Source organism: Homo sapiens, chromosome 12, assembly GCF_000001405.40.
Source record: "Homo sapiens chromosome 12, GRCh38.p14 Primary Assembly".
NCBI lineage: Eukaryota > Metazoa > Chordata > Mammalia > Primates > Hominidae > Homo > Homo sapiens.
The window spans coordinates 1,795,404-1,819,163 of NC_000012.12; the positions used below are offsets into that span (position 1 = coordinate 1,795,404).

At 56.2% G+C, this 23,760-nt stretch overlaps 1 protein-coding gene and 2 long non-coding RNA genes across 8 annotated transcripts in view, besides 11 other annotated features; 2 read left to right on the forward strand and 1 right to left on the reverse strand.

Annotated features, from left to right (window-relative positions):
* Window positions 1–23,760, reverse strand: part of CACNA2D4 (calcium voltage-gated channel auxiliary subunit alpha2delta 4) — a 126,690-nt gene that overhangs the window by 3,441 nt on the left and 99,489 nt on the right. For all 3 annotated transcript variants that reach the window (NM_172364.5, XM_047429897.1, XM_011521041.3), the window contains 10 exons: window positions 16,259–16,320; window positions 15,140–15,184; window positions 14,875–14,937; window positions 6,171–6,241; window positions 5,640–5,715; window positions 4,983–5,035; window positions 4,597–4,649; window positions 4,272–4,292; window positions 2,015–2,132; window positions 265–377 (listed from right to left, as the gene is read on the reverse strand). In NM_172364.5, coding sequence (NP_758952.4) covers window positions 265–377; window positions 2,015–2,132; window positions 4,272–4,292; window positions 4,597–4,649; window positions 4,983–5,035; window positions 5,640–5,715; window positions 6,171–6,241; window positions 14,875–14,937; window positions 15,140–15,184; window positions 16,259–16,320 — 675 coding nt within the window. The remainder of the gene's footprint in view (window positions 1–264; window positions 378–2,014; window positions 2,133–4,271; window positions 4,293–4,596; window positions 4,650–4,982; window positions 5,036–5,639; window positions 5,716–6,170; window positions 6,242–14,874; window positions 14,938–15,139; window positions 15,185–16,258; window positions 16,321–23,760) is intronic.
* Window positions 144–711: an enhancer, noted in NCBI's record as "H3K4me1 hESC enhancer chr12:1904713-1905280 (GRCh37/hg19 assembly coordinates)". NCBI's record gives its function as "activates a minimal SCP1, AML or CMV promoter by ChIP-STARR-seq in naive H9 embryonic stem cells {active_cell/tissue: H9 hESC(naive)}" and the evidence as "EXISTENCE:reporter gene assay evidence [ECO:0000049][PMID:30033119]".
* Window positions 672–1,001: a silencer, noted in NCBI's record as "silent region_4123". NCBI's record gives its function as "represses an Ori minimal core promoter by ATAC-STARR-seq in GM12878 lymphoblastoid cells {active_cell/tissue: GM12878}" and the evidence as "EXISTENCE:reporter gene assay evidence [ECO:0000049][PMID:35858748]".
* Window positions 672–1,801: a biological region, named in NCBI's record as "H3K27ac-H3K4me1 hESC enhancer GRCh37_chr12:1905392-1906297".
* Window positions 823–1,728: an enhancer, noted in NCBI's record as "H3K27ac-H3K4me1 hESC enhancer chr12:1905392-1906297 (GRCh37/hg19 assembly coordinates)". NCBI's record gives its function as "activates a minimal SCP1, AML or CMV promoter by ChIP-STARR-seq in naive and primed H9 embryonic stem cells {active_cell/tissue: H9 hESC(naive and primed)}" and the evidence as "EXISTENCE:reporter gene assay evidence [ECO:0000049][PMID:30033119]".
* Window positions 1,342–1,471: a silencer, noted in NCBI's record as "silent region_4124". NCBI's record gives its function as "represses an Ori minimal core promoter by ATAC-STARR-seq in GM12878 lymphoblastoid cells {active_cell/tissue: GM12878}" and the evidence as "EXISTENCE:reporter gene assay evidence [ECO:0000049][PMID:35858748]".
* Window positions 1,572–1,801: a silencer, noted in NCBI's record as "silent region_4125". NCBI's record gives its function as "represses an Ori minimal core promoter by ATAC-STARR-seq in GM12878 lymphoblastoid cells {active_cell/tissue: GM12878}" and the evidence as "EXISTENCE:reporter gene assay evidence [ECO:0000049][PMID:35858748]".
* Window positions 1,729–2,633: an enhancer, noted in NCBI's record as "H3K27ac-H3K4me1 hESC enhancer chr12:1906298-1907202 (GRCh37/hg19 assembly coordinates)". NCBI's record gives its function as "activates a minimal SCP1, AML or CMV promoter by ChIP-STARR-seq in naive H9 embryonic stem cells {active_cell/tissue: H9 hESC(naive)}" and the evidence as "EXISTENCE:reporter gene assay evidence [ECO:0000049][PMID:30033119]".
* LOC105369602 (uncharacterized) lies at window positions 5,036–12,094 on the forward strand. Of its 4 annotated transcripts, none has more exons than XR_931548.3 (4): window positions 5,036–5,547; window positions 10,300–10,508; window positions 10,888–11,155; window positions 11,727–12,094. It is a non-coding gene; the product is annotated as an uncharacterized LOC105369602 (long non-coding RNA). The 4 variants fall into 4 exon arrangements; XR_931549.3 differs by having other exon boundaries at window positions 5,036–5,520; XR_931547.3 differs by lacking the exon at window positions 10,300–10,508 and having other exon boundaries at window positions 5,192–5,547.
* Window positions 9,090–10,012: an enhancer, noted in NCBI's record as "H3K4me1 hESC enhancer chr12:1913659-1914581 (GRCh37/hg19 assembly coordinates)". NCBI's record gives its function as "activates a minimal SCP1, AML or CMV promoter by ChIP-STARR-seq in naive H9 embryonic stem cells {active_cell/tissue: H9 hESC(naive)}" and the evidence as "EXISTENCE:reporter gene assay evidence [ECO:0000049][PMID:30033119]".
* Window positions 9,140–9,434: an enhancer, noted in NCBI's record as "tiled region #5038; HepG2 Activating DNase unmatched - State 18:Pol2, and K562 Activating DNase matched - State 8:EnhW". NCBI's record gives its function as "activates a minimal TATA promoter and a strong SV40 promoter by Sharpr-MPRA in HepG2 and K562 cells {active_cell/tissue: HepG2 | K562}" and the evidence as "EXISTENCE:reporter gene assay evidence [ECO:0000049][PMID:27701403]".
* Window positions 9,173–9,332: a silencer, noted in NCBI's record as "silent region_4126". NCBI's record gives its function as "represses an Ori minimal core promoter by ATAC-STARR-seq in GM12878 lymphoblastoid cells {active_cell/tissue: GM12878}" and the evidence as "EXISTENCE:reporter gene assay evidence [ECO:0000049][PMID:35858748]".
* Window positions 17,568–17,807: an enhancer, noted in NCBI's record as "active region_5812". NCBI's record gives its function as "activates an Ori minimal core promoter by ATAC-STARR-seq in GM12878 lymphoblastoid cells {active_cell/tissue: GM12878}" and the evidence as "EXISTENCE:reporter gene assay evidence [ECO:0000049][PMID:35858748]".
* On the forward strand, window positions 17,793–23,403 carry LOC105369601 (uncharacterized). The gene is made up of 5 exons (XR_931546.3): window positions 17,793–18,459; window positions 18,611–18,728; window positions 20,321–20,565; window positions 20,679–20,730; window positions 21,831–23,403. It is a non-coding gene; the product is annotated as an uncharacterized LOC105369601 (long non-coding RNA).

Sequence of the window (23,760 nt, forward strand, 5' to 3'; positions counted from 1 at the left end):
CAATATCTCAGGACCGGAGCCCATTCTGCAGACTGGAAAAAGGTCTGGAAGAACCTGCTCTGGTGCCACCAGTTGCCCTGCAAGCAGCTTTAGGGTCAGGAGGCAGCACCGGGGCCCAGGGAAGGGTTAGAGAACAAATAACGGAGCCCTGTGGAGGACACGGGCGGTGAAGGAGGCTGGCCCCGCTGCTCAAAATCTGAGCCCTACAGACACCTCCTACAGCCCCCGCCCCCACCGCACACATCCCCGAGCATTGCAGGATATATTTGACTTCTGTCGCCTCCTGCAGCACTGGTGGGAAGATGCTGCAGTCACAGGTGGGGTCTGTCACCAGGAGGAGGAGGTTACTGTTGGGAATCTGCTGCACCACAAATACCCTGCAGCAAAGAAAGGGAGTCGAGGATGGCTCCGTGGCGACCACGAGAAGGGCTTCTAGGGAAGGAACTTCTGGAGACTTTAGTGTGGAGTTAGGGTGGCAGGGAAGCCCGGAACCATGAGGCAGGGCGGGTCGGGGCAGCTAAGGGAACGGGCCTGGCAGATGGCTCAGTCCTACTGGCTTTGCTCACAAGCCTTTGCTGCTGCATTTCCTTTCCTAGCAGACTGGAGACAGTGAGGAAGTCCAAACTGGGCCGCTTTGGAGAGTGCAGAGTTGCTATTAATATATGCAGGGACGACAGGCGTAAATCAAGACCGTCCGGAGCAAATGGGCGGGCGAGGCAACACTTGCTCTGGGTGAGGGTGGCGGGGGCAGGCCCGGGCGAAGCGGCAGCGCTGGAGCTTGGCCACCAGGTGGCGCAGTGGCCCCGCGCTCGGCGAGGCCGCCCTGCGAGGAGTGGCGCGGAGTGGGGCGGAGCCCGCCCGCCAGGCCCACGGCCTTCCCAGCAGTCCCAGCGGCCGCCTACCGAGCGCCTCCCCTGGGATGGGCGGTCTCACACACCCAACGTGCACACCACAGCCGTGTATACTCTCAGCCTTCACGGCTCTGTATGAGGCTGGTGTTGTGCCCATTTTGCAGATGAGAGAATGGAGACTAGAGGAGGCGAAGTCACTTGCCCACGGTCATAAGCGGGGGAGCGCAGAGCCAGTTTTCAATTCAGGAGTGTCTACTCTGAAGCCCTCGCTTCACTCCGGAGCCCGCTGGCTCTATCCTCGCACCGAGCCTTTGCGACAAGTGCACAGGGAACGCTAACCCCAGCCCTCAACGCTGCACAGAACCCGGGGTGAAACCCGCGCAGCACGACGCGCAGGGAGTGGGGGAGAAGGGAGCCCCGATGCCAGCGCCGCAGGTGCCGCACTGTTAAATGGTGTGCCACGGGCCCGGGGGTCTAGGGACCGCCTGGCGAGCGGCACGTCTGGCTGAGGCGACCCTCGAGGAGGCCGCCGCATTCCCAGCGTGGGGGTCCTCCCGGGCTTGGGTGCGGGGGGTCAGCAGGAGAGACCCTTCCGCGCGGCCTCCCTGCCTCCCCGGGGCCAGGGCGGGTTATAACTAGCGGCTTCCACACAGCAGGAAGCCTGACAGAGGCTGCCCGCGGGGCTCCCAGCGACCCGAGGACATCGCACACTTCCGGCCTTCTCTTCTCACACTCCCTCTGCCTTCCAAGTTCTCCCCACGCAGCTCAGGCGCGGGCACTGGCACCGCCCTGGGCACCGCCTGAGCAGGGCTGGGGGAGACCCGCCGAAGGGCCCACTCGCCCAGAGACGCCGTGGGGTCACGGCTGCGGCCTCGGCGGGGTGGGCTCGACACACAGGGTCAGGCCTCGGGACCACCTCTCCCCATCCCGGCTGTCCCGGTCCCCAGCCGTCCTGCCCGCCTCAGACCGTCCGCCTCCTGCGTGTCTCCTCCACTGAGGACGGCGGGGGAAGACCCCGGGAGCGTGGGCTCTGCACTTAGACGCATCCCCTCCTCCCGGCTGTGGAGCCGTTTCCCGGGGGTTCCGGGGCCCTGCCCGCACTTCCGCCTTGCCGAGGGCGGGAGGAGTGTGGCGGGACGGGCGGCGCCGCCCTGCGGTCTTACTTCTGGCAGGGCCCGCACTCCACGATCCCGTTGGCCTCCCGGATGGCCGGCTGGTACACGAACACGGGGTACTCCGTGTCGCAGGGCTGCAGCGGGTCCTGCTTCTTGTGTTTGTGGGCTGCGGGCGGAGAAAGGACATCACGCCACCGAAGGGGCCTCTGGCCTGCGGTGACCTCGCCTCGGCACTCCCAGGGCCAGAGTTCACCCCAGTGCATTTGCAGAGGGTCCCTCCTCAGGCAGTTCTCAGGACACGCGTGGGAGGAGCCGGGCGGGGGGTGAGGGGAGGGAAGACACCCGGAGTCTCTGGAGAGGGTGGCTTGGCACGGGGAGCGCCGCAGGGGCCCTGAGCCTCGGTGGAGGGAAAGCGCTTCCTCTGGGGAGCCTGGCCCTCACTGAGCTGGGGGCAGTGCACCATCTCCAGGGCCCCTTCCAGCACTCAGATCCCGGGGGAGGGTCTGAGCGGGGAGCAGAGGCAGTAGGGGCACCAAGGGGTGGCTTGGGGGTACTTAGGCCCACCACCCCTCCCTTCACTGTGGACAGACGCAGTGCAGTTCCTGGGCAATCCTGCCCTGCTCTCCCGCACAGCCAGGCCCACACTCCACCCATTGAGCCTGAGCGCCTGCGGTGGGGGCAGCCGGGCAGGTGGGCTCCAGGCCTGGGGCTGCGGAAGCCCAGAAGCCACAGCCACCCGGTGCGGGACTCCTCGGGGGCTGCGCGATTTGCCTTAGCTCCCTGGGACAAGGACAGTGGACTCAACCAAAGGTGGAGGCGAGTGCCTCAGCCCCGCTCTGCAGGACCCGAGTCCGTTCCCTCCCGGAGCCTCCTGAGGTGGGCACATGGCAGAGCAGGGCCCTGCCACACAGGCTGTCTGCATGGCCCTTCTGTTCTCAGGGCCTGGCTGTGGCCCCCAGGGATAGACCTAGAGGCAGGGAGCACAGGTGTGAGCTACCTTCCCAGGCTCATGCAGAGTCCTACAGGAGAGCATGGGTCTCCCCAGCTTCCAAATCCAGAAGCTCCCAGCCAGAGCTGGAAACCCAGAGGGGACACTAGCTGGCGTGCAGAAAACTCTCACCGAGAGGAGCAAGCCCACAGCGGCCAGGGCTGTGAGTTTTGTCCCCAGGGCTGGGCACAGAAGCCTGCCTGACAATGGCAGGGTTGAGTGGCGTCCCCAGGGTCACGCAGTGGAAGGGGCTGCAGCACCTACGCCCCGGCCTGGGACTCCAAGTCCAGTGCGCCTTCACTGGGGACACTGACATCTGTGTAGGCCAGACCAGGGGGAGGAGCTCCAGGGGACAGGTACCCCAGAGAAGAGAAATTCTGAGCAGGCAGATTGAGGGGGATCATCTTCAACTTTTGCAAGATGCAGCTGCTGACAGAGACAGAGGGGACAGTGTCCTGTCACTGACACCTAGTGACTGTGAACACCCCAGAGCAGCCCCACCCGATCGCGGATGTGAGTCCAGAAGGAGTCTGGAGACACAGCCCGAACTGCCCTGAGCCCAGGGGCAGAGGAAGCCCCAAGCCAAGGCCAGCAGAAGAGAACGAAGAGCAAGCCAGAGAGAGGACCACAGTGGAGATGAAGAGATGGGATAAGCTGGGGACAGCCCAGGTGGTGGGAAGTTCTGGAACCCCATGGCAAAGGTTCTAGGAACACGGAGGAACTGAGCAGAGCCCGCTGAGGCAAGATGGCCTCCTGCAGTCATGGAGGGCCCAGGCGCCCGGGCAGTGAGTGCTTTGAAAGGCCAGGCTCATTGCCGCCCTGCACGTGTGGCCACAGCCACCGGGCTTTGTGTTGGGGCCTCTCATGGTTGCTGCCTCTGGGGGACTCTGTCCTCAGACACAGGGTCCCGCAGGGGAATCATCCTGAGAGCTTCCTGGGGCCCCTGGAACCCGGAGTCCCGCTGAGGGCTGGGGTGCCGCTGTTTGCTTCTCCAAGGGGTGGGCTGGAGGTTGCTCACTCATACTGGCTCATGGCCACCCGGCCACACCACCGGCTTCCTCTTGGAATCTTACGTGTTCTCACCCAAGGGGAGGCTGGAGTTTCTCATTTTCCCTGGGGCCTGACCGTCCTCATGTGGGATGAGAACTGGGCTAGACTCCCCAGTCCCCCAACCCCCAGGAATGGTACTTTAAACCAGGAGAGCTCAGCCCTGCTTGGGGTCATTCCTGGGACAGGTCATGGAGGGTGGGTTCTTTGTAGCTCCTGCTGCGTCCCCAACCCACCGCCAGCAGGGATGGCCTCAGCTGGGCTACTTACAGTGATGGAAGACACTTTTGGCTGGCCGGAACATAAGCCCAGCACAGGGTGGACACGGCACAGGAAAACATGGTGGCACATGAGGGCAGGATGTCATGGGGTGGTGATGATGGCACATGGAGTGGCGGTGTCCCAAGATGATGTCACACACAGAGCCAGGAGTGAGGGATGTGATGAGAGAAGGCCACGCAGGGTGAGATGTGAACAACGATGCTTCAGGGTCACCTATCCCCACTGTCACCCACCCCACAGGGAATGGTCTCACGTTAGTGGACCAAAATGCCACTGCTCTTCAGCACATGGCCCTGCAGCTCCGTGCACTCACCCTCGGCCCCTCTGTCGTACCAGGAGCCCCAGACACTCCACTCCAGCAGGAACCTGTCAGACACAGGACTGAATCTCGGAGACCTCTGAGCCCTCCCGACTTGGGTTCCCAAGGAGCTGGAGTATCCCTGACAGCCCCCGGCCCATCCCCTCTCCTCCAGGACACCCTCTTCCCTGCTTGAGGGCTCTGGTTGAGCAATGAGGTCCCTCCCAGGGGCAGCATGCAGGGAAGAGGTGGCGTCCATGCCCAGGGATTGTGCCCTCCTTCCCCGGGGTCTGGTAGCAAGTGGGTTGTCCTGGAGACCTTGCAGCCTCCTGCTCAAGGACACCCTCCTAAGCCACCCTCGCATGCAGCCCTCCACCAGCCCCGTGTCTACCCCCACTCACAGCACCAGCTCCTGCAGCAGCCACCTGGTCGCCGTCAAGAAGGCAGAAATTGGCTGGGAAGGAGAGAGTGCACACCGCTCGCACCTAGGTCCAAGGGTGAGGGTGCCCCCCCCCCACCACCAGCACCACCCTCAGAGAGACCAGAGAGTGGGCTGCCCTGCCACTGGGAGCAGGGGCAGCAGAGCACAGGCCAGCAGCCCAGCACCCCCCATCCCCCCACCTCCCACCTGCCCTGCAGAGCTGAGCTAGCTGGGAAATGCCTATTGCAGGTCAGACATCTCGGGTGGGGTTGGACATGCCCCTCCAGGAGACGAGTCAAGCCCTCATCCTGGTGCTGCACTGCTGAGGATCCCTGGTGATCAAGCGGCAGTGTCAGGGGCTGAGGCTGGGGCAGGCTGCTCTCTCTGTCTCCGCCAGAGGCACTGTTGTGTCACAACTACCAGAGCAGTCCCTCTGAAGCCCCAAAGCCAGACCCAGAGGCCTGCCTGGGAGTGGGACTGAGAGCAGTGGCTCTGAGCAGAAGATGGAGATGGTCAAGGTAGGGCCCTGGGGCCAGACACCCAAGGTGGGTGAGAACAGGGACCAGTGACCTCATTCCAGGACAGGGCAGAGGACTGGCTGGCTGGCTGGCAGAGGGAAGGGCTGGGTGACACTCACGCTGACCAGGGGCTGGGCTGCACTGTGGTGGTGACTCGAGGGTTTGCACATGGCCTGATAGTCATACATAGTCACTCTGAAAATCAGAAGCGGGCTGTGATGAGTCCAAAGCCACCCCCACCCCCTGCCCCTGCCTCAGGAGGCTTTACTAGCAGAGCATCCGTTTACCGCAATTCCCAAGGGCGCCTGAGCTAGGACAGCAGATCAGAATACAGCTCATGCTGAAAATTACATTTCTGCACTTGGAATGGTTTAAAGACAATGAAGAGCAAATGGCTTTTGCCCTCGGAGTTGGACGGTTTTCCCTCTAGGGTCTGAGCTGCGGAGCCCCTCCCAGGGATGCCCACATGCCCTTACGCCCTCCCCACATCATGCTGACGCCCTGGCTCCATAAAGGTTGCTTTTGCAGCTCTTTGGGGGCACCCACTGTGGGTTTTGGAGGTCAGGATCCTGAGATCCGCCAGGACCACTTAGCGTCAGCTCTCGGTTTGCTGTGTCTATTTGGACTGGGGAGGAGTGTGCCCCACTTACTGGCTGAACACCCCCATGCTGAGCAGCTGGGTCAGGACAGCACCATCCACCTCCCCCAGAAATCTTCCCGTCTGTGAGAGAGGGACAGCAGAGAGAGAGGGAGGGAGAGAGATGGAGCAGGATGGAGCCTTCCGAGTCCAGCACTATTTATTCAGCTCAGGTCGAGGCTTTTGGTGCCAGTTGGGCTTTCCCTCTGACTGCCTCTCAGCATAATCCAGCTGAACCCTTCCACCCACGCCCCTGTCCGGTCCTGGCTCCCTCCTCACCGTCCAGCCTGGTGCTTCCTCAACTGGAAGGAGTCACCCGCTAGCTGACTATGAGACCAACGTAGAGGCTGCAATGTGATTTTTTTAATGGTACAGAATTCCTTGGAACAATTCTGTGTGAATCACTTGCAGCAAGGTTAAAGAATGTTTTATGAAACTGGATTTGTTTTATATGCTGTGTGTGTGTGTGTGTGTGTGTGTGTGTGTGTGTGTGTGTGTGTTGGGTCAGATATAAAACACGTTTCTGCAGGTCAAGGTCAGAAGCAGCGCCTGTCTCATGCACGCTGGTGTCCTCATCTTCCCAGTGTGAGAGGGCTGCTGTGGCTTTTGCTGTCCCTCCATCACCTCCCACAATCAGTGTGCCCTGTGGATCGGTCATTTGTCCCCTCCATGACAATGACCTAACCGGATCCCTTGCCCTGTCTCCATTGCCCACCTGCCCTCCTAACTGACCTCTCCTCTTGTCCCTGTGGCACTGCCAGAGTCATCTTACTCAAATGCAACATGGATGGGTCACTCTTGCCTTCATTTCCAAAAAATAAAACAGGACCCTCCCTCCTGCCCCCGGCTCCCCTTTTGTTGTCCATCAGCCAGCACTTTGTGGCTTCTGTGCCCTGTGCCAAGCAGCGGCCCCCTAGCTGGCTGAGAATGGCCTCAGGCCCTCCACTCTGCCACCTCTCATGGCCTCTGTACCTGCCTTGGCCTCTTGAGTCTGCCATTTCCCAGCATGTCAGGGTGGCAGAGCTTGGGCTTTGGTGTTGGATTTCGACTTTAATGTAGGCTGTCTTTAAAAATTGGGGATAGCGTGTGTCCGGCGTGTGGCTCCCAGTAAATACTTGAAAAATGGCAGCCATCGTTAGGAGGAGAGGTCCGGGGTCCGGCTTGGCTGTTCTCCCTGCCGATTACCCTTCCTCTGTCCTCATGCCAAGGAACTTCTTTCCTCACCCTCGCTGGGAAGTCTTTCTATTCTAACTTTCCCAGCCAGAACAAGGCCTTCCTCTGCACACCGGCAGCCTGTGGAGTCCTAGTCTCACTCTGCCTGATAAGATATTTGGTTGAAAACTGTATGAGAACAGGACCATGTCTTACTCATCTCTGAATTCCCCAAAGTGTCTTGGTACCTGGACATACTCAGTCAGTGTGGAATGTTGATAGGGAAGGGAGGTGGGAACCAAGCTGATGGCCACGTCAGGTTCTTCATGGAGAGCTTTCTAGCTGCCAGGGCCCAAAATGATGACATGTGTGATAACTACCAATAAAAAGAAATGCAAGGCTGGTACAGGAGCTGAGGCACATGGGCCTGGCCAATCTCAAGGAAAGCCAGGCATTGTCTGGGTGCCCACCTGGGGCCTGCCCTGGGCAGCCAAGTAGACTCCAGCAAGCCTTCTGAAGGGAACAGAGATGTATTCCAGACAAGGGCTAGGCAGAACGCACAACTCCTGAACACCCAATGAACAACCAGAGAAGTTCTCTCTCAAATAAGAGATGATGGTGCAGCTTCAGGACAATAACCCCAGAACTGTTATGCCCATGGTTCATAATGCTGTGACTTATAATCAGCCAATATGGGGCCACAGGTCCCCAGATGCGCCCACACCAGGAATCTGGGATGGAGTCAGGAAGTATTACTTTCCAAATTGGACTTAAATAACAAAACATAGTCCTTACATCCTACAGTATTTCCTGTGTAAGTGGAAATGGCTGACTTATAAAATTAAAACGTAAGGATGCAACCCACTAAAAATGCATGGCAAATTGTAATCTAAAAATGGAGGGTCAATTACAAAAGTAAGCAGCAGGAAAACAGATTCAGACAAAGGTGCTCACACTTGTCTGTCTACACTCTGCTAGTTCTTTACCTGGAATGGCCTGACCACCAAAAACTATTTCATAATACCTTTTATTCATAAGGCACTCACCAGGTGAGTCTGATGCAAAGATGAATGAAATGGACACGAATCAAGAGCTTCAGACTAGTTTGCATGGACAGGCAGGGAACACACAAACTCTCAGACATGGCTGGCTGAAAACCGGCACCTCCTACGGTGGTGGAAAGGAGTGGCAACCTAAAGCCCTGGCAGGCTGCATGAAAGAAGGCAGTGGACATGGCAGCGGGACAGCAGGGAGGGTCAAGGGCATTCCAGGGACACAACAGCACATGGGAATGTGAAAGACATTGAAATCCTGCCTGTTCTTCACGGCGCAGCCCTGAAGCTCTCCCTGGTGCCTCCAGCTGGAGTAAACTCTCTCAGCTGGGGCTCGCTTTTTGCTATTCTAGTTACTGTGTGTGTGTGTGTGTGTGTGTGTGTGTGTGTGTGTGTGTGTCCCCTCCGTCACCCCCTCACCTGACAGCAGGATTCTAGGGGACAGAAATCCACTTCTGTCCCACAGCACCACACCATGTCCTGTTCACAGTTATTATTCCATGCATATTTGCTGAAGGAATGTGTGAGGGAATGAATGACCCGAGTCTTCTGCTCCCTGGGAAAGTGCAGCGGGGTGCAGACAAGGCTTCTGACGAGGCTGGTCTTAATTCCTACAAACCTGTCCCATTCTCCTTCCTAATTCTAGGCTTATTCACCAACAACCCTGTGGTTTAGACCCTGGATTCTGAGAAGAGAGGTCCCTGAGAGCAAGGATGTGTATCCTGGACACTAGAAAAATGTATCCCCCTCCATAAATTACTAGCTTGATTTTTCTAGGATTTGTCACTCTGGCAGAAAATATCCATTCTCCCCGTCTTCTTTAGTTAGGCAGCCTGACTTTAATTATGGCAGCCATGTGCTCAGCGAAAAGACTACATTTCCCAGTAGCCCTTGCGGCAGGGACTGGCCAATGGAATGTGAGCAGAGCCGCTGGGAGGGACTTCCGGGAAGCGGGCCCAAGGCCTCCTGCCTCTTCCCCATCCTCGCTCTTGCGCTCTGGGAAGTGGACTCGAAGGCAGGAGCCCCTCCAGCTATGCTGGGATCGTGCGGATGGGGACAGGCTGGGCCCAGGCTGCCTTCATCCATTCTTTTATGAGAGAATAAACCTTTAGTTGTTTAAGCCACTTCTCTTCTGGCAGCAGAACACAATTCCTGGCTGATAGTTTCTTTTGAACTTTGTCAGGGCAAATCCCCGACTCAAATACAGTCCCTGAACCTGCAAAGCGAAGGTCCAAACGTCGACGTGGGATGCCTTGTCGATTTAGGAGCCCCAGACCGCCCGTGGAGTGGCACCCAAAGCATAGCACGATGCAGGGGCCTGACCACCCCAGCCCCCCTTTCATGGGGGACAATTCACAAATAAGCAGTGGCCCGTGGGCTGCCTGAACTCTGGGGCTGGGTCAAAAGAGTCGAGGACCCCCCCTGCCTGGCCTTCGAGTCTGGAGGGAGGCCAGGAGGAGGAGGTCCTGTGAGCACCACCCAGAAGCCTGCGGGGGAAGCAGATGGGGGCAGAGGCAGGCGACCAAGTGATGAGAGGTTGGGTAGTCCCTCCCAGGCCTGGACTAATTTGCAGGGCTGTGGGAGGCTGTGCCCAGAGAGAAGGGGTGCTCTTGACTCTGATGACAGATGGAGTAAATGTCCCATGGCCTCCTTACCTGGGGACAGCCTCCGTTTCTTCTCTAAAGATGGGAGCTCATCCTCCTAAGGGGTGTGGACACTCAAGTCCCTGTGTCTGGCTCGGGTCGGGATCAGTTTCCTTTTGTCTGCTCCTGGCTTGTGCAGCCTCACCTGCCCCTCCGTCCTCCAGGCTGCAGTCTCTTAAGGAGTGTTTTGGACACTCAGGGGTGCCTGGGAGGTACGTGGAGGAGCGGGGTGGGGGTGGGGCAGCACTGCACTCCCCAGAAAGCCACCTGAAGAGCCTGCCTCTGACCACGACAGGATTAATTCTATTCCTGGAGGGCCCAGTGGAGCAGGGCCATTTGGGACGCCAGGAAGGTAGAAGGAGCACCGCTGCCAGGGCATGTGGTGTCCCGGAAGATGGCCAAGGCAGGCTGCCCAGAGTGGAAAGGATGGCAACACGTGCCAGGCTGGGATAGTGACTTGAAGATGAGGAGCCTGGGCTGGGCGGGCCGCAGGCGGCAGGGAAGGTGAGAGGGATTCAGAGAAACAGGAGCCGAGGCCCAGAAAGGCATGCCTGATGCCCCCTGACGACAGAGAGGGATGCCCTGCTCTGAGGGCCTGCCTGGTCCGGCTCACTGGGCTGGGGTGTGGAGGGAGCAGGGTGCTGTGCTCTGAGAGATCCAGGTCCCTCAGGGAAAGGTGCTGGGATGGGGCCTCGGATTTTCTAGGCTGCAGTTGCTGCCCCTTGAAGATCCACTTTGAAGCTTCCATGGGTGGGTGCCGCCCAGAAGCAAATGACAGGAATCGGAGTCCCCAGATTCAGGGTGACAGATCCACTATAAATATTACAAAGCTCCACAAAGCCACTGTCATTGCCTGTCCCCAGCTGTCTGCTTCTCTTTCTAGGCCCCACATCGAGGGTTGCAATCTTGTCATCCATAACTCTTATAAGAATGAGCCCTGGCCTGGAAGAGAGGCCAAATGTCTAATCAGCAGGCCTGGAACACCGCCGGTGCCAAGAAAGAGCCAAGCAGCCACTCCCTGGGGCTGGCTGCAGATGAGGCCCTTGTGGTTTCCCCACTCACTGACTACGGGGAGGAGGGTGTGCAAGGACTTTGTCTGGGAAGAATCTTTGCATCTGTAGCTCAACAGGCTTCTCTCTCCAGGCCCCTGGGTAAGCCCTAGCAGGGACAAGGAGTCGCTGGAAGCCTTTGACATATTTGCCTAGTCAGGAAAGTGACAGCAGCCAGCTAAAGTGCATTGAGATCCACAGCAGCCAGGAGGCCTGGGGAGGGTTCTCAACCCACCATGCACCCAGTCACCTGGAGGGCCCCTTTGAGCAGACTGCCAGACCCCAACCCCAGAGTGCTTGAGTCCCTAGGTCTGGGGTGGGACCCTGGCAAATCTGCATCTCTAACAAGCTCCCAGATGCTGGGGCTTCTGTCCTTCAGCCACACTGGAGGCCTAGAGATAAGCAGGGAGGAGCAGTGAGGAATGAATGAGTTAGGGGAGGCCAGGCCCTGTGGCCCTCGATGGCACTTGTGTGTTTGGGGAAGAGGGGCAGGTTTGGGTCGGTTGGTGGGAGTTGGTGGTGGGCAGACTCTAAAGTGGTTCACAATGATCCCGGCCTCCTGGGAGTCCTGCCCTTGTGTAAGCCCCTCCTCTTGAGTATAGGTTGGACATAGTAACTTGTTTCTAGCAAGCAGAATATGGTAAAAGTGATGGGGTGTCGCTTCTGACATCAGGTTTCAAAAGACTGTGACTTCCACCTTGGTTTGCTCGGTCTGATGAAGGAACTTTGAGCTGTGAGCTGCACTGTGAACTTTGCTGTGAGCTGCCCTGTGATGGGAGAGGAGGCCTCCGCCTCACAGCCCTGGAGGACCTCAATGCTGCCAACGTGTGACCAGATGCAGATCCTTCTCCAGTCAAGCCTGGACATGACATGACAGCAGCCCTGGGGACCTTGATGCTGTGGCCTGTGCAAGACCCTGAGCCAGCCGCACCCAGATCCCTCACCCACAGAAACTGCCAGATTTTAAGTCTTCTGCTTGTAAGCCACTCTTTTTGCCATAGTTTGTGTGCAGCAATAGATAACTGCTCTAGAGTTGTTAAATGAGTAAGTTTTTTTAAAAACAGCAAAAACAGATGGACGGACAGAGGGTCGGACAGCTGAACAAATGGCATTAGCCCCAGACTCTCCGCCGCCCTGTCTTCCACTCATCTCCCAGTCTAGCGCCTGCTGCCTCCAGCCCTCACTCTCAGGCCAGTTCAGTTCTCCACACGGTTACCCAGTGTCTGCTGTGTGCCAGGCACCACACCAGGCAGGGTCTCTGGCCTAGTGCCCTCCCATAACCCGACACAGTTCAGGCTGCATGGTCAGAGCTGTCCAGAGTGAGGAAGGAGGAACTGGGCCCTGATCACAGTGGGGGAGCAAGGGTGAGCCAAGCACGGCGGGAGCGGGGGCCCCAGCAGGAGCCTCTAGAAGGTCAGTTCGTTTCTGCCCTGCTTCATTTCATGGAGGGTTTGGGATGGCATATAAAACTACACACGGGGTAAAAAGGTAATAGAATCATTGAGAAAATGGGGGTGAATGAGTTAAGTCAACAAATACATTATAAAATATAAATCTCTGAGTAATTGATTGCTACCACATCTAATCCAAACTTGTTCTCAGTGATTTTACAATCTGTGAAGACATGTGAGCAAATGTGGTCTGGACAGAATAGGACCAAAGTGGCCCAGTGGGTTATGAGAGGGTCCCTCGAGGGACCCTGGAGGGACCCTGGAGAGGCCACGTGCTCTCCAGCTTCTCTCAAGGCTGGGGTGGTTTCCCTCCAGGGCCGCCTCCCCGCACGGTTGTCCCGCTGCCTCTGGAGCAGGGGCTGGAAACTACAGCCCGTAGGCCAAGCCTGGCTCACTGTTGATTCATGTGAGCCCTTGATCTAAGACTGGCTTTTCCATTTTCAAGTGGTTGGGGAAAAAAAGTCAAAAGATTGATAACATCTCATGACACGTGAAATTTATATGAAATTCACATTTCAGTATTCAAAGGTTTTACTGGAGCAACGCCACCTGCATTTGCTCACAGATCGCCCATGGCTGCTTTCTTGCTACAACAGCAGGGCTGAGTCTCATGAAGCTCAAAACCAACATGTGCATCCGCCCCTTTAGGAAACGCTCGCCTACCCCTGCTCTTGAGCTTGCTCTCAGGCTTGGCCATCCTCTCCCTCTGTCCTGCCACCTCCCATCCCAGTGTCCAGGATGCAAGCTCTCTCTGGGATGCCTTAGCCCATGCTCCGGCCCTTGAAAGCCAACACCACGGGAGGCCTGGGGACACGGTCAGTCTCAGTCACCCAGGGCGAGAGGGGTCGGAGCACGAATGAGGGGGCATCAGTGATCCCAGAGCCTCACACCAACCACTGGTTTCAACTCTTATCATCACTGGTTTTCTCCCAGAACAACGGAAAAATACAAAGGTCCGGTGCTCTGTCTGGGGAGGAGTGAAATGACGAAAATGGGGCATGAAAGGGAGAAGGGGGAGGGTACCAGAGGCAGGCGCCCAGGTGACCGTGATGCTCAATTAGCTGTGTGTCCTGCAAAGCCCCGCCCACACTCCCACCAACAGGAAGTTGAACGAAACCATCTTTGGCTTCTCTACTCTTGTGGCTGAGAACTGCTGCTCGTTAAGTGGGTCATTTAAACACTACCCCAAGGAGTTAGATTTCATGACCCACTGGTGCCCCTTTGTCCTCACTTGCCCTCTTTCCCAAGTCTCCTTCCGACATCCCTGCTCCAGTTCCTGCCCTGTTCCGACGACTTCTTTGGATCCGAAGCCGCATCCCGGTCAGGCCAGACCACAGCCCTACCATGCGTGGAGGTGGCCTTGGCCACGACCTCTGCATCAGCCTCCACATCCCAGGAACTTAGAGCCCTCAGCTGGGGCTGGCTTAGACACTGTGTAGTCCAGCCCCCGGCGAGACACAGCTAATGGAAGTCGCTTGCCCACATCACGTTTCTAATTAGTAGCAAAGCTCACACAGAACCAAATACTATGCCCCTTTCCCCGAGGCTCAGGCAGGAGGCGGTTCTGATGCTTCTGCCTTGCTTCAAGGAAATACATCTGGTGAATATATCTGGATTTGCTTCAGGTTTGAATGGGCTTCTTTCTCAGTTTGATTCCTGGCTAAAGGAATAATCCATTTTGAGGCCCCTTTTGGAGCCCAGCAAGTATAAAAATATTATTGTACTTTCTCTTTTTCCTTTCTGAGCACATGCTGGGTTCAGGGAGATACCCACAGCCAGCGGGGGCGGGGGGAGGATTAGGATGTGCAAGCCAGGCATTCAGGCGAGAAAGCATCGCGTCCATCCCCCATTTCTTCTCTGACACACCGAAGGCCGGGCGTGGTGGGTGAGAGTATAATTTTCCATAAGGTCCAGACAGGACAAGAACATGAAGTGGGGAAGCCATGTCTTCTGGGCCCCACAATGGTAGAAAGGCAGGCGGGGGTTGGGGAATGATCTGATAAGTGAGTGTGCTTGGATCCTTGTGGGGAGGCCCCGAGTGAGGCTGGGCCAGTGTGGCCAGGCAGGGCCCTGAGATGGGGTCACTGAGTGGCTCCTACCAGGCACGGGAGGAGGCCAGGCTAGTGACAGATAAAATGAAGAAGTAATATTTTCTCTGACTCCCTGAGTTGAAAAGTGCTCCAAATTCTGCCTTCTTGCTCTGTTGACTTTGGTGTCAGAACACCATGTTCTTCAGACCTTTCACCTGAATTGGCCCCGAACAGGGTTCCCTCCTGGGGCCGTGGGGCTCTCTTTAGCTGGAGTGGCTGCCCAATGTCTCCAGTCCTCCTGCCGCCCTCTCCCCCTCATTCTATATCCCCAGTGACTCACCTCTCGGGACCTCTTGGAGATCAGAATGAACCCGTTGTTGTCGATGACGAAGCAGTCCAGATCCTGGGAGGAAACCCAGAAGGGAGGTTATGCCAGGGCCCTCACCCACCCCGGTCCTCCAGCCTGTCCCCCAGCTCTGGAAGGCAGCGTGGGAGCTTCACTGCAGGGAAGGAGGGCATTTGGGAGAGGGAAGCTGGCCTGCCAGGAGGACCGGGCGGAGGGCCATGGCTCCCTCCTCCACCTTCCTCACACGGGCAGAACTTACACTGTCCTCGCAGCTCTGTGTGCACGGCCCATCCACAGTGCTGCACTGGAAGGAAGAGGAGAGACTGAATGTGGACACTGCATGTGTAGTAGAAATGGCACGTGTAAGTGGGAATGCTGTGTGTGTGGTACGTCTGCAGTGTGTGTGCATGTGTGCATGGGGTGTGTATCTGCACATGGAGGGCACCTGTGTGGGGTGTGGGTGTGGGATGTGTGTGTCGTATGTGGAGAGCACGTGTGTGAGGTGTGTGCATGTGTGTGTCTATGTGTGGGGTGTCTGTACGTGGAGGGCACATGCGTGTGGTGTGTGTTAGCATTGTGTGCGTGGTATGCATGTGGTATGTGGCCTGCGGGTGCTGCATTCGGCAGGCCCTGGGTGGTGGAAGGGCCCAGGTAGCCCTTCTAGAGGTGCAGGCTCTGCAGCCCCCAGGCCTCGTTGCTGGTGTGGGGAGGGGACTTTGTGGGCTCTGTGGGGCTCCTGCACTGGCTGTCTGGTTGAGGCGGTGGGTGACCGCAGCCCCCTGCCCTCCATCCCTCTCGATTCACTCTTGGGCTCCCTGCCCTTGCCCAGAGTCAGGCGGCAGCAGCAAGTGATGGGGGCCGAGGGGCTCGGCGTTGCAGGAGATTGAGGCTGAGGGAGCTTGAGGGAGATGAAGGGGGCAGCTCAGAAGCCCAGAGGGACCTGAGGGCTCTGGGGAAGCAGAGGGGAAAGGAGCCAGTAGAACGGACAGGACGAGGCCAGGCAGAGCTGGGAATTCTCAGCCAGAAGCCGCTGTCGTCTCTGGCATCTCTTGCCAGCCATCAGGGCCTGGACCCCGGACCTTGGACGGTGGATCGAGGTGGCTCTCCCTTTTCAGCGGGGAGGCATGCCAGTGGCTTTGGAGTGGCGAGAAGGGGTGACTCTGGGTCGTGCCCTCAGCACTGGGCTGGCAGGGGCTGGGGACCAGCGCTGAGGCCCGGCCTGCAGGCTGGGGAGCTGAGGGGCTGAGAAGTGTAGGGGCCGGGAGGGCATCCTGAGAGCCTCAAGGCAGTGGAGCATCCAAGGGGAGGGAGAGGGGGTCTCACACCCAGGGGAGCGTGGTGAGTCCCCAGCCCCGACCTGGCCCGACATCACACCTACCTGCCGCGTTGCCGCCCAGAATTTGCGCTGGAGGAATTCCAGCTTCATTTGGACGCCCGCGGCTACAGGGCAGAAAGAGAGAGGGCAAGGCCAGGGAAGAGACGGGGAGAGAAAAAAATAGAGTCAAGTTAAAGAGAGGAGGTGCTTCCGCAGGAACTGAGGAGAGAGACCGCAGCGGATGGGAGGACTGAGTCAGAGGGCAGAGTGCAAACTGGGGTTTCTGGGGAGTGGGAGGGGTGGGGGAAGAACAGAGACGGCAGCCTCTCTCGTTCCCACTGGAAGAAGAGCGACAGAAAATGCCCAGCAGTGATGAGGCTCCCATTCCAGAAAACAACGAGGGCAGATTCATCCTAGATCTCTGGGAACTCAAGGCCGGTGGATGGGACAGCTCAGTCTCCCCTTTCCCATAGATGGGAATATAGAGGCCAGAGAGACCCACCCTTTTGACCAAATCACGTGACCAAGAGTGGCACCCTGGAATTCAGGGCCGTTGCCCTAGCAACTCATGGGCTCCTTGGATCTTAACCTGGTGTAACCATTCCTTTCATACCCTCTGTCTGCTCAGGATCTTCCCTGCTTTATAAGGAGGCTCTTTTCCAGCTCAAAGCCAGGTTCGGGTTTGCCCAGGGCTGCAGGTGGGTTCCAGGAAACTACAGGCACCACCAGCTGGCAAATAGTTCTCTTTTGATGACTGTGCTTACAAGGGCCACCCCTGACTTTCTGGTTCCCAAATAGGCTTGGAGAACCCAAGCAGGTGCTCACATATCCAGAGAAATCTGGGACAAAGAGCTCCAGGAAAACTTGGGGCCAATGAATAGAAAGAAGAGGCAGGTTATATTGAAAAGAAGAAGAATTTCAAAACTAGGCCAGCTTCCTAGTGTCTGGTATAATAATATCAAAACTGCGCTGGGCGCTTAGAACGTGTCCAGCACCTCACATGCATGAGTGTATTGAATCCCACAGCAGGCCAGTCCTATTATTATTCTGACTTTCCAAGCTGAAGAAATGGAGACTTTTCAGAGTCACATGGCTTGCCCAAGTCACCAGCTTGTTAATCACAGAAGCAGGACTGCAGCCTGGGCCTGTCTCTCCCTGAAGCTGCCTCCTCTCTGGACCTGGACTGAGTCCTGGTGATCGGGAAGGAGCGGCGGGCACAGGCAAGCCGCTGTCTGCTCAGGCTCGGGTTTCCTCATCTGTGAAACGGGAACGGATGTGGCTTCTTAACCATTACGCTGTGTCCGTCACAGTCATTCTCACTTCTCGAGTACCCAGTTGGTGGGAGTTCCAGTATGGCACAGAGATACAGGATTGTGTTTTTGTTTTTTCACTCTGGAATGATCTTAGAGAAATTTGATGGGAAAAATGAGAGCAGGGAAGGGTCAAAGGCCAGAGGTCCAGCCCTGCATTTTCCAGGGTTGTGATCTTTGCGTTTCGTCTCCTCAGCTGCAAGATGAGTCACGGTTCTACTTCCCCTGGAAGGGCAGAAGTTGCATAAGATTGTTGAGGCTCAAGCGAGATAATGTGTGAGGCTGTTACTCCAGACTAGAGCCTTGATTTTTAAACTTCAGCGTGCATCAGAATCGCCTGGAAGGTTTGTTAGAACCCCGCCCCCAGAGTTTCTCCTTCAGGGGGTCCAGGGTGGGCCTGAGAGTTTCTGAAGTGTTCCCAGGGGTTGCCGATGCTGCTAGTCCAGGCACTATATTTAGGGAACCCCCGTCCTAAAGCCTCACCAATTGAATCTCCTAAGATGATGAAGATGGCCTACATCTGTGCTGTCCTAAACGGTAGCCAACAGCCACACGTGGCTACTGAGAACTCGGAGTGTGGCTAGCACGCCTGAGGACCCGAATTTAAAAAACAGTTAATTTTAATTAACTTAAATTTAAATAGCCACGTATGGTTGGTGGCCAGCGTTTTGGACAGTGTTGTTCTAGAGCTCATCTGAGTTTGCAGATGAAGAAACCGAGGCTTTGAGAGGTACCTCCCCTCCCTTGGAGTCTCATGGCAATCCTGGGGTGGTGCTCCGGCTGGCTGGCCTTCTTGAACAGGTCCTGTGATATGGGAACATTTGAGTGCTTTGGGGGTGTCTTTGTTGCTTTGAGTTCCAGGTAGCTGAAAGGAGTGGGCTGGAAGGGGACGGGGAGACCCATTTGCTGGCTCATGACAAAGATGAGAGCTGCAGACACAGCGCACAGCGGCAGGTGAGGTGTGCTCAGGGCCTAGCATGGCTGTGCTCCTCCTCCCGCTCATGTGCCCCTCTAAGGTTGCGGGGACCCCTCGGTCTCTTCTCCTTCTTTTCCCTTATAAGACCACCCTAGACATTCATTTTAGACAGATTTCTTTCACCTGTAGGAAAAGGCTAAATGAAAGAGGATCATCAGAGCGAATCACGCTACTGCTCAGAATGACCAGCTCTTCGGGATTGAAGAAAGCTTCCTTCATCCTGTCCTTGGCCTCCGTGGTCAAAGAGGTCTCACATTATTCCTAGAATGAGACTCTGCCTTTCCATTTGATGGCTCAGTGTCAAGTCGCATAGAATCATGAGATTTCTGAGCTGGAAGGAATTCTACGATTCTAACATGGGGAGTCTGGAGAGGGTGGGGGTGTAGGTGTTGAGGCTCCTTGGGCAGAAATGGGGGGAGCAGGGCACAGAGCATATTTTCCCCCACTTGGTTCCATTCCAGGCTCCTCCAAGCCAAGCTGTGTGTCTTGCCCCGGGTGTCCTTTGCGAAATTTAGGGCATTGCAACCGCCTATTGGCATGTCATCTGCCCTTGGGTCACAGAGCGCTAATGAGTGCGTTTTACAATCCTCTTGTAAGACAAAAAAGTTCTGCAAGTCCCCACTCGACCCAAGAAGTCCAGCTGGCTTCAGCTCTCACTTTGAACTTAGCGTGTTCTCCCCCAGACCTGACCCTCCTTGAGACTTCTCCATTTCAGGACACATTTTCTATCTGATTGCTATCACTTTCCCTCCTCCCATCCAACGTCTGCACACCTCAGTTCCAAAACTTTATAAATCTGTCCGCTTCCCTCCATCTCCACCGTTACCACCCTTGGCCAAGCCAACATTGCTCTCACTTGGATTAATGCAAGCACCCCCGAACTGGCCCCCGCCTTGCATCCTGCCTCTCTCTGATCCATTCTCCACATAGAGTGGATCTTTCTGAAGATCAAATCACACCACTCCCTGGCTTAAAACCCTCTAATGTCGTCCCATTGCTCTTTTTTGTTTGTTTTGTGTTTTTGAGACAGAGTCTCACTCTGTCACCCAGGCTGGAGTGCAGTGGCACAATCTCAGCTCATTGCAACCTCCACCTCCCAGATTCAAGTGATTCTCCTGCCTCGGCCTCCCTAGTAGCTAGGATTACAGGCGCGTGTGATACCATGCATGGCTAATTTTTGTATTTCTAGTAGAGATGGGGTTTCGCCATGCTGGCCAGGCTGGTCTCAAACTCTTGACCTCAAGTGATCCACCTGCCTCAGCCTCCCAAAGTGCTGGGACTACAGGCGTGAGTCATTATGCCTGGTCCCCATTGATCTTAAAATCTAAACTTGCAAGATGGCCACAGGAACTGGCTCTGCTGATTTCTCTGATTTCATCCAGAAACACTTCACCTCTCAAACATGTTAAGCTCATTCTCACCCCAGGGCATTTGTACCAGCTGTTCTCTCCTCCTGGAATGCCCTTCCCCTAGAACTTTACATGGCTGGCTCCTTCCCATCGTCAGGTCTCAGCCCAATATCATCTCCTAGAGTGGCTGTCCCTGGCCTCCCGAGATAAAGCCAGCCAGGGGGACCTCCCTCACTTTCACTCTCTACCTTATTACTTTTTAAATTTTCTAAGTGACATGATTTGTTCATCTATTTGATTTCTCATTTATTGTCTGTCTGGGGCTAATAGCAGGCAGGGGATTGAGTTTTGATCCCCAGCACCTAGAATCGTACCTATCACAGTGTGACTCCATAAATTTTTCTTGAGCTACGTAAGCAAATTCAATTTGAGCCAGCCACTTGACGGGGAAGCCGAATTCTACCAGGTCTCACTGTCCCTTCCCTCCCAGCTTCAGGGGCCTTGCTGACCTCCTTCCTCTCCATTTTGCTGTGCCCTCTCACTGTCCCTGAACTTGAGATCCTGGAGGTTTAGCTGTGCTCTGGGTCCCTTGAAGACTTCGGAGGCAATCCACTAAGAAATGGGGATTTAAGTGAGACATGAAGAAGAACTTCCTTATGGCAAGAACTATAAGATGTTGAAGACAAGACACAGTATTGGGAGTAAAGGCGGTGAGGCACGGAAATATATTTACCAGTGAGTCAACGGTGTTCTGCCGTGCCCAACCGCTTGCATCCCCTGGCTTGCATCATATTGAATCCTTCTGTCAACTGCAGTCCCACAACCCAAGTTGTGCTTTTCCACTCCAGACACCCAGGGAACCGAGTCTTCTCCCCCAGGATCCCTGCTCTGCTCGTTCAGGTGAGTGGTTACTTGCGGGGAGGACTGCCCTTCCTCCCATCATCTCCTGCTAGCCAGCTGTGTGCAGGAGACAACACCTTATGATATTATGTTTGCAGACAAGCTCACACCTTTCGGTGAAGAGAAATTCAGGCAAAGGGCCCGAGGGAATGCAAAGCACTCGGCTTTTCCTGTTGCTTTCCTGGGAGTTATCAGGAAAGCTTCCCTCATGCCTGTGCATGGTGGGCCCCTGTTTTAGACCCTGACCTTCGTCCCCAGGAGGGCCTGTCATGACCTGAAAGAGGAGGACAAATCTCAGACCCCTTCCTGCCCCAGCGGGCCTCCTGCCCCAGCTGACCTGGGTCCCTTCCCTCCCTCCTGTCCTCCCTCTCTGGGCTGTCCCTTGCCTTCCCTCTCTGCCCTGCCTCTCCACATTGATCTCGTGCCTTCCTCCCAAGCAGCTTTCCTGTAAGATCGCAGCTCAGCTCCGCTGGCAGACAACCTAACAAAGAGCCTCAATAAGGCCAGACCCGCAGGCGGCTTATCAAGATGTACGTCTTTGCTGTGCACACAGACTGTCACCTCGGTGCTGCTGTGTCATCACAGAAGGCAAAACCAAACAACTGTGCATGCACACACACATACATGCACACACATGGACACACACATATATGCACACACGGACACACATGCATGCACACACACTTGCACACACATACCCATGCACGCACACATGGACACACAGGCATACGCACACACTTGCACACACATGCATATACACGTGCACCATGCACATGCACACATACGTACACACACATGCACATACATAGCATGCACATGAACATATGAGTTTGCACACTGTTGAGTGCTGTGGTCCCAGGAGTCAGAAGCTCCAGCTTTGCCCTCCTAGCCCTTTATCTGCTTCTCTTTCCTCCTCCTCTGTCTTGAGAACCTAACCAGGAGACTGCGTGTTGCACGGGATAGGGACTGTGGGGCATGAGAGGGATCATCTTTTGTAACACAAGCTGAGGACCCGACAGGTGCACAGCGAATACTTAGGTCACAGAAGGCCAGTGCCAGAAGGGAGACCAGAGATCTCAACCCATCTCCTCATTCTGCAGGGCAGGAATCCCAGCCAGCACAAGGCCCAGGGCTGCTGAGTGAACTCACTAGCTAGCTAGTCACTGAGCAACAGAGTCTGGAGTCTGGGTCCCCTGATGCCCAGTCTTGAGCTCTTTCATGTCCTCCATTCCTCACTCAGTTGACACGAAGGCACTGGGGCCTGAAGGACACGGAACAGGTGAGGCCAGTCCCCCTGCTTGAACAGCTCTGTGTAGGAAAGGAGATGACTCCCTCTCCCCTCTCCCCTCTCCCCACGGTCTCCCTCTCCCTCTCTTTCCCCGGTCTCCCTCTGATGCCGAGCCGAAGCTGGACTGTACTGCTGCCATCTCGGCTCACTGCAACCTCCCTGCCTGATTCTCCTGCCTCAGCCTGCCAAGTGCCTGCGATTGCAGGCGTGCGCCGCCACGCCTGACTGGTTTTCATATTTTTTTGGTGGAGACGGGGTTTCGCTGTGTTGGCCGGGCTGGTCTCCAGCTCCTAACCGCGAGTGATCCGCCAGCCTCGGCCTCCCGAGGTGCCGGGATTGCAGACGGAGTCTGGTTCACTCAGTGCTCAATGGTGCCCAGGCTGGAGTGCAGTGGCGTGATCTCGGCTCGCTACAACCTCCACCTCCCAGCCGCCTGCCTTGGCCTCCCAAAGTGCCGAGATTGCAGCCTCTGCCCGGCCACCACCCCGTCTGGGAAGTGAGGAGCGTCTCCGCCTGGCCGCCCATCGTCTGGGATGTGAGGAGCCTCTCTGTCTGGCTGCCCAGTCTGGGAAGTGAGGAGCGCCTCTGCCCGGCCGCCATCCCATCTAGGAAGTGAGGAGCGTCTCTGCCCGGCCGCCCATCGTCTGAGATGTGGGGAGCGCCTCTGCCCCACCGCCCCGTCTGGGATGTGAGGAGCGTCTCTTCCCGGCCGCGACCCCGTCTGGGAAGTGAGGAGCCCCTCCGCCCGGCAGCCGCCCCGTCTGAGAAGTGAGGAGCGTCTCCGCCCGGCCGCCCCTACTGGGAAGTGAGGAGCCCCTCTGCCCGGCCACCACCCAGTCTGGGAGGTGTGCCCAACAGCTCATTGAGAACGGGCCAGGATGACAATGGTGGCTTTGTGGAATAGAAAGGCGGGAAAGGTGGGGAAAAGATTGAGAAATCGGATGGTTGCCGTGTCTGTGTAGAAAGAAGTAGACATGGGAGACTTTTCATTTTGTTCTGCACTAAGAAAAATTCCTCTGTCTTGGGATCCTGTTGATCTGTGACCTTACTCCCAACCCTGTGCTCACTGAAACATGTGCTGTGTCCACTCAGGGTTAAATGGATTAAGGGCGGTGCAAGATGTGCTTTGTTAAACAGATGCTTGAAGGCAGCATGCTCGTTAAAAGTCATCACCACTCCCTAATCTCAAGTACCCAGGGACACAAACACTGCGGAAGGCCGCAGGGTCCTCTGCCTAGGAAAACCAGAGACCTTTGTTCACTTGTTTATCTGCTGACCTTCCCTCCACTATTGTCCTATGACCCTGCCAAATCCCCCTCTGCGAGAAACACCCAAGAATGATCAATAAAAAATAAATAAATAAATTAAAAAAAAAAAAAAAGAGTCATCACCACTCCCTAATCTCAAGTACCCAGGGACACAAACACTGCGGAAGGCGGCAGGGCCCTCTGCCTAGGAAAACCAGAGACCTTTGTTCACATGTTTATCTGCTGACCTTCCCTCCACTATTGTCCTATGACCCTGCCAAATCCCCCTCTCCGAGAAACACCCAAGAATGATCAATAAATACTAAAAAAATTAAAAAAAAAAAAAAAAGGAAAGGAGATGAAGCAGACCACAGAAAGCTCCTGCACAACATGAGGGTGGCCCAAAGAGAATGCCAGAGATCGGAGGAGGAGCAGGGCCAGTCCTGTGGTGTTCCGGGGAAACGTCACCTTGCAGGGGGCGTTTAAGGAAGGGGG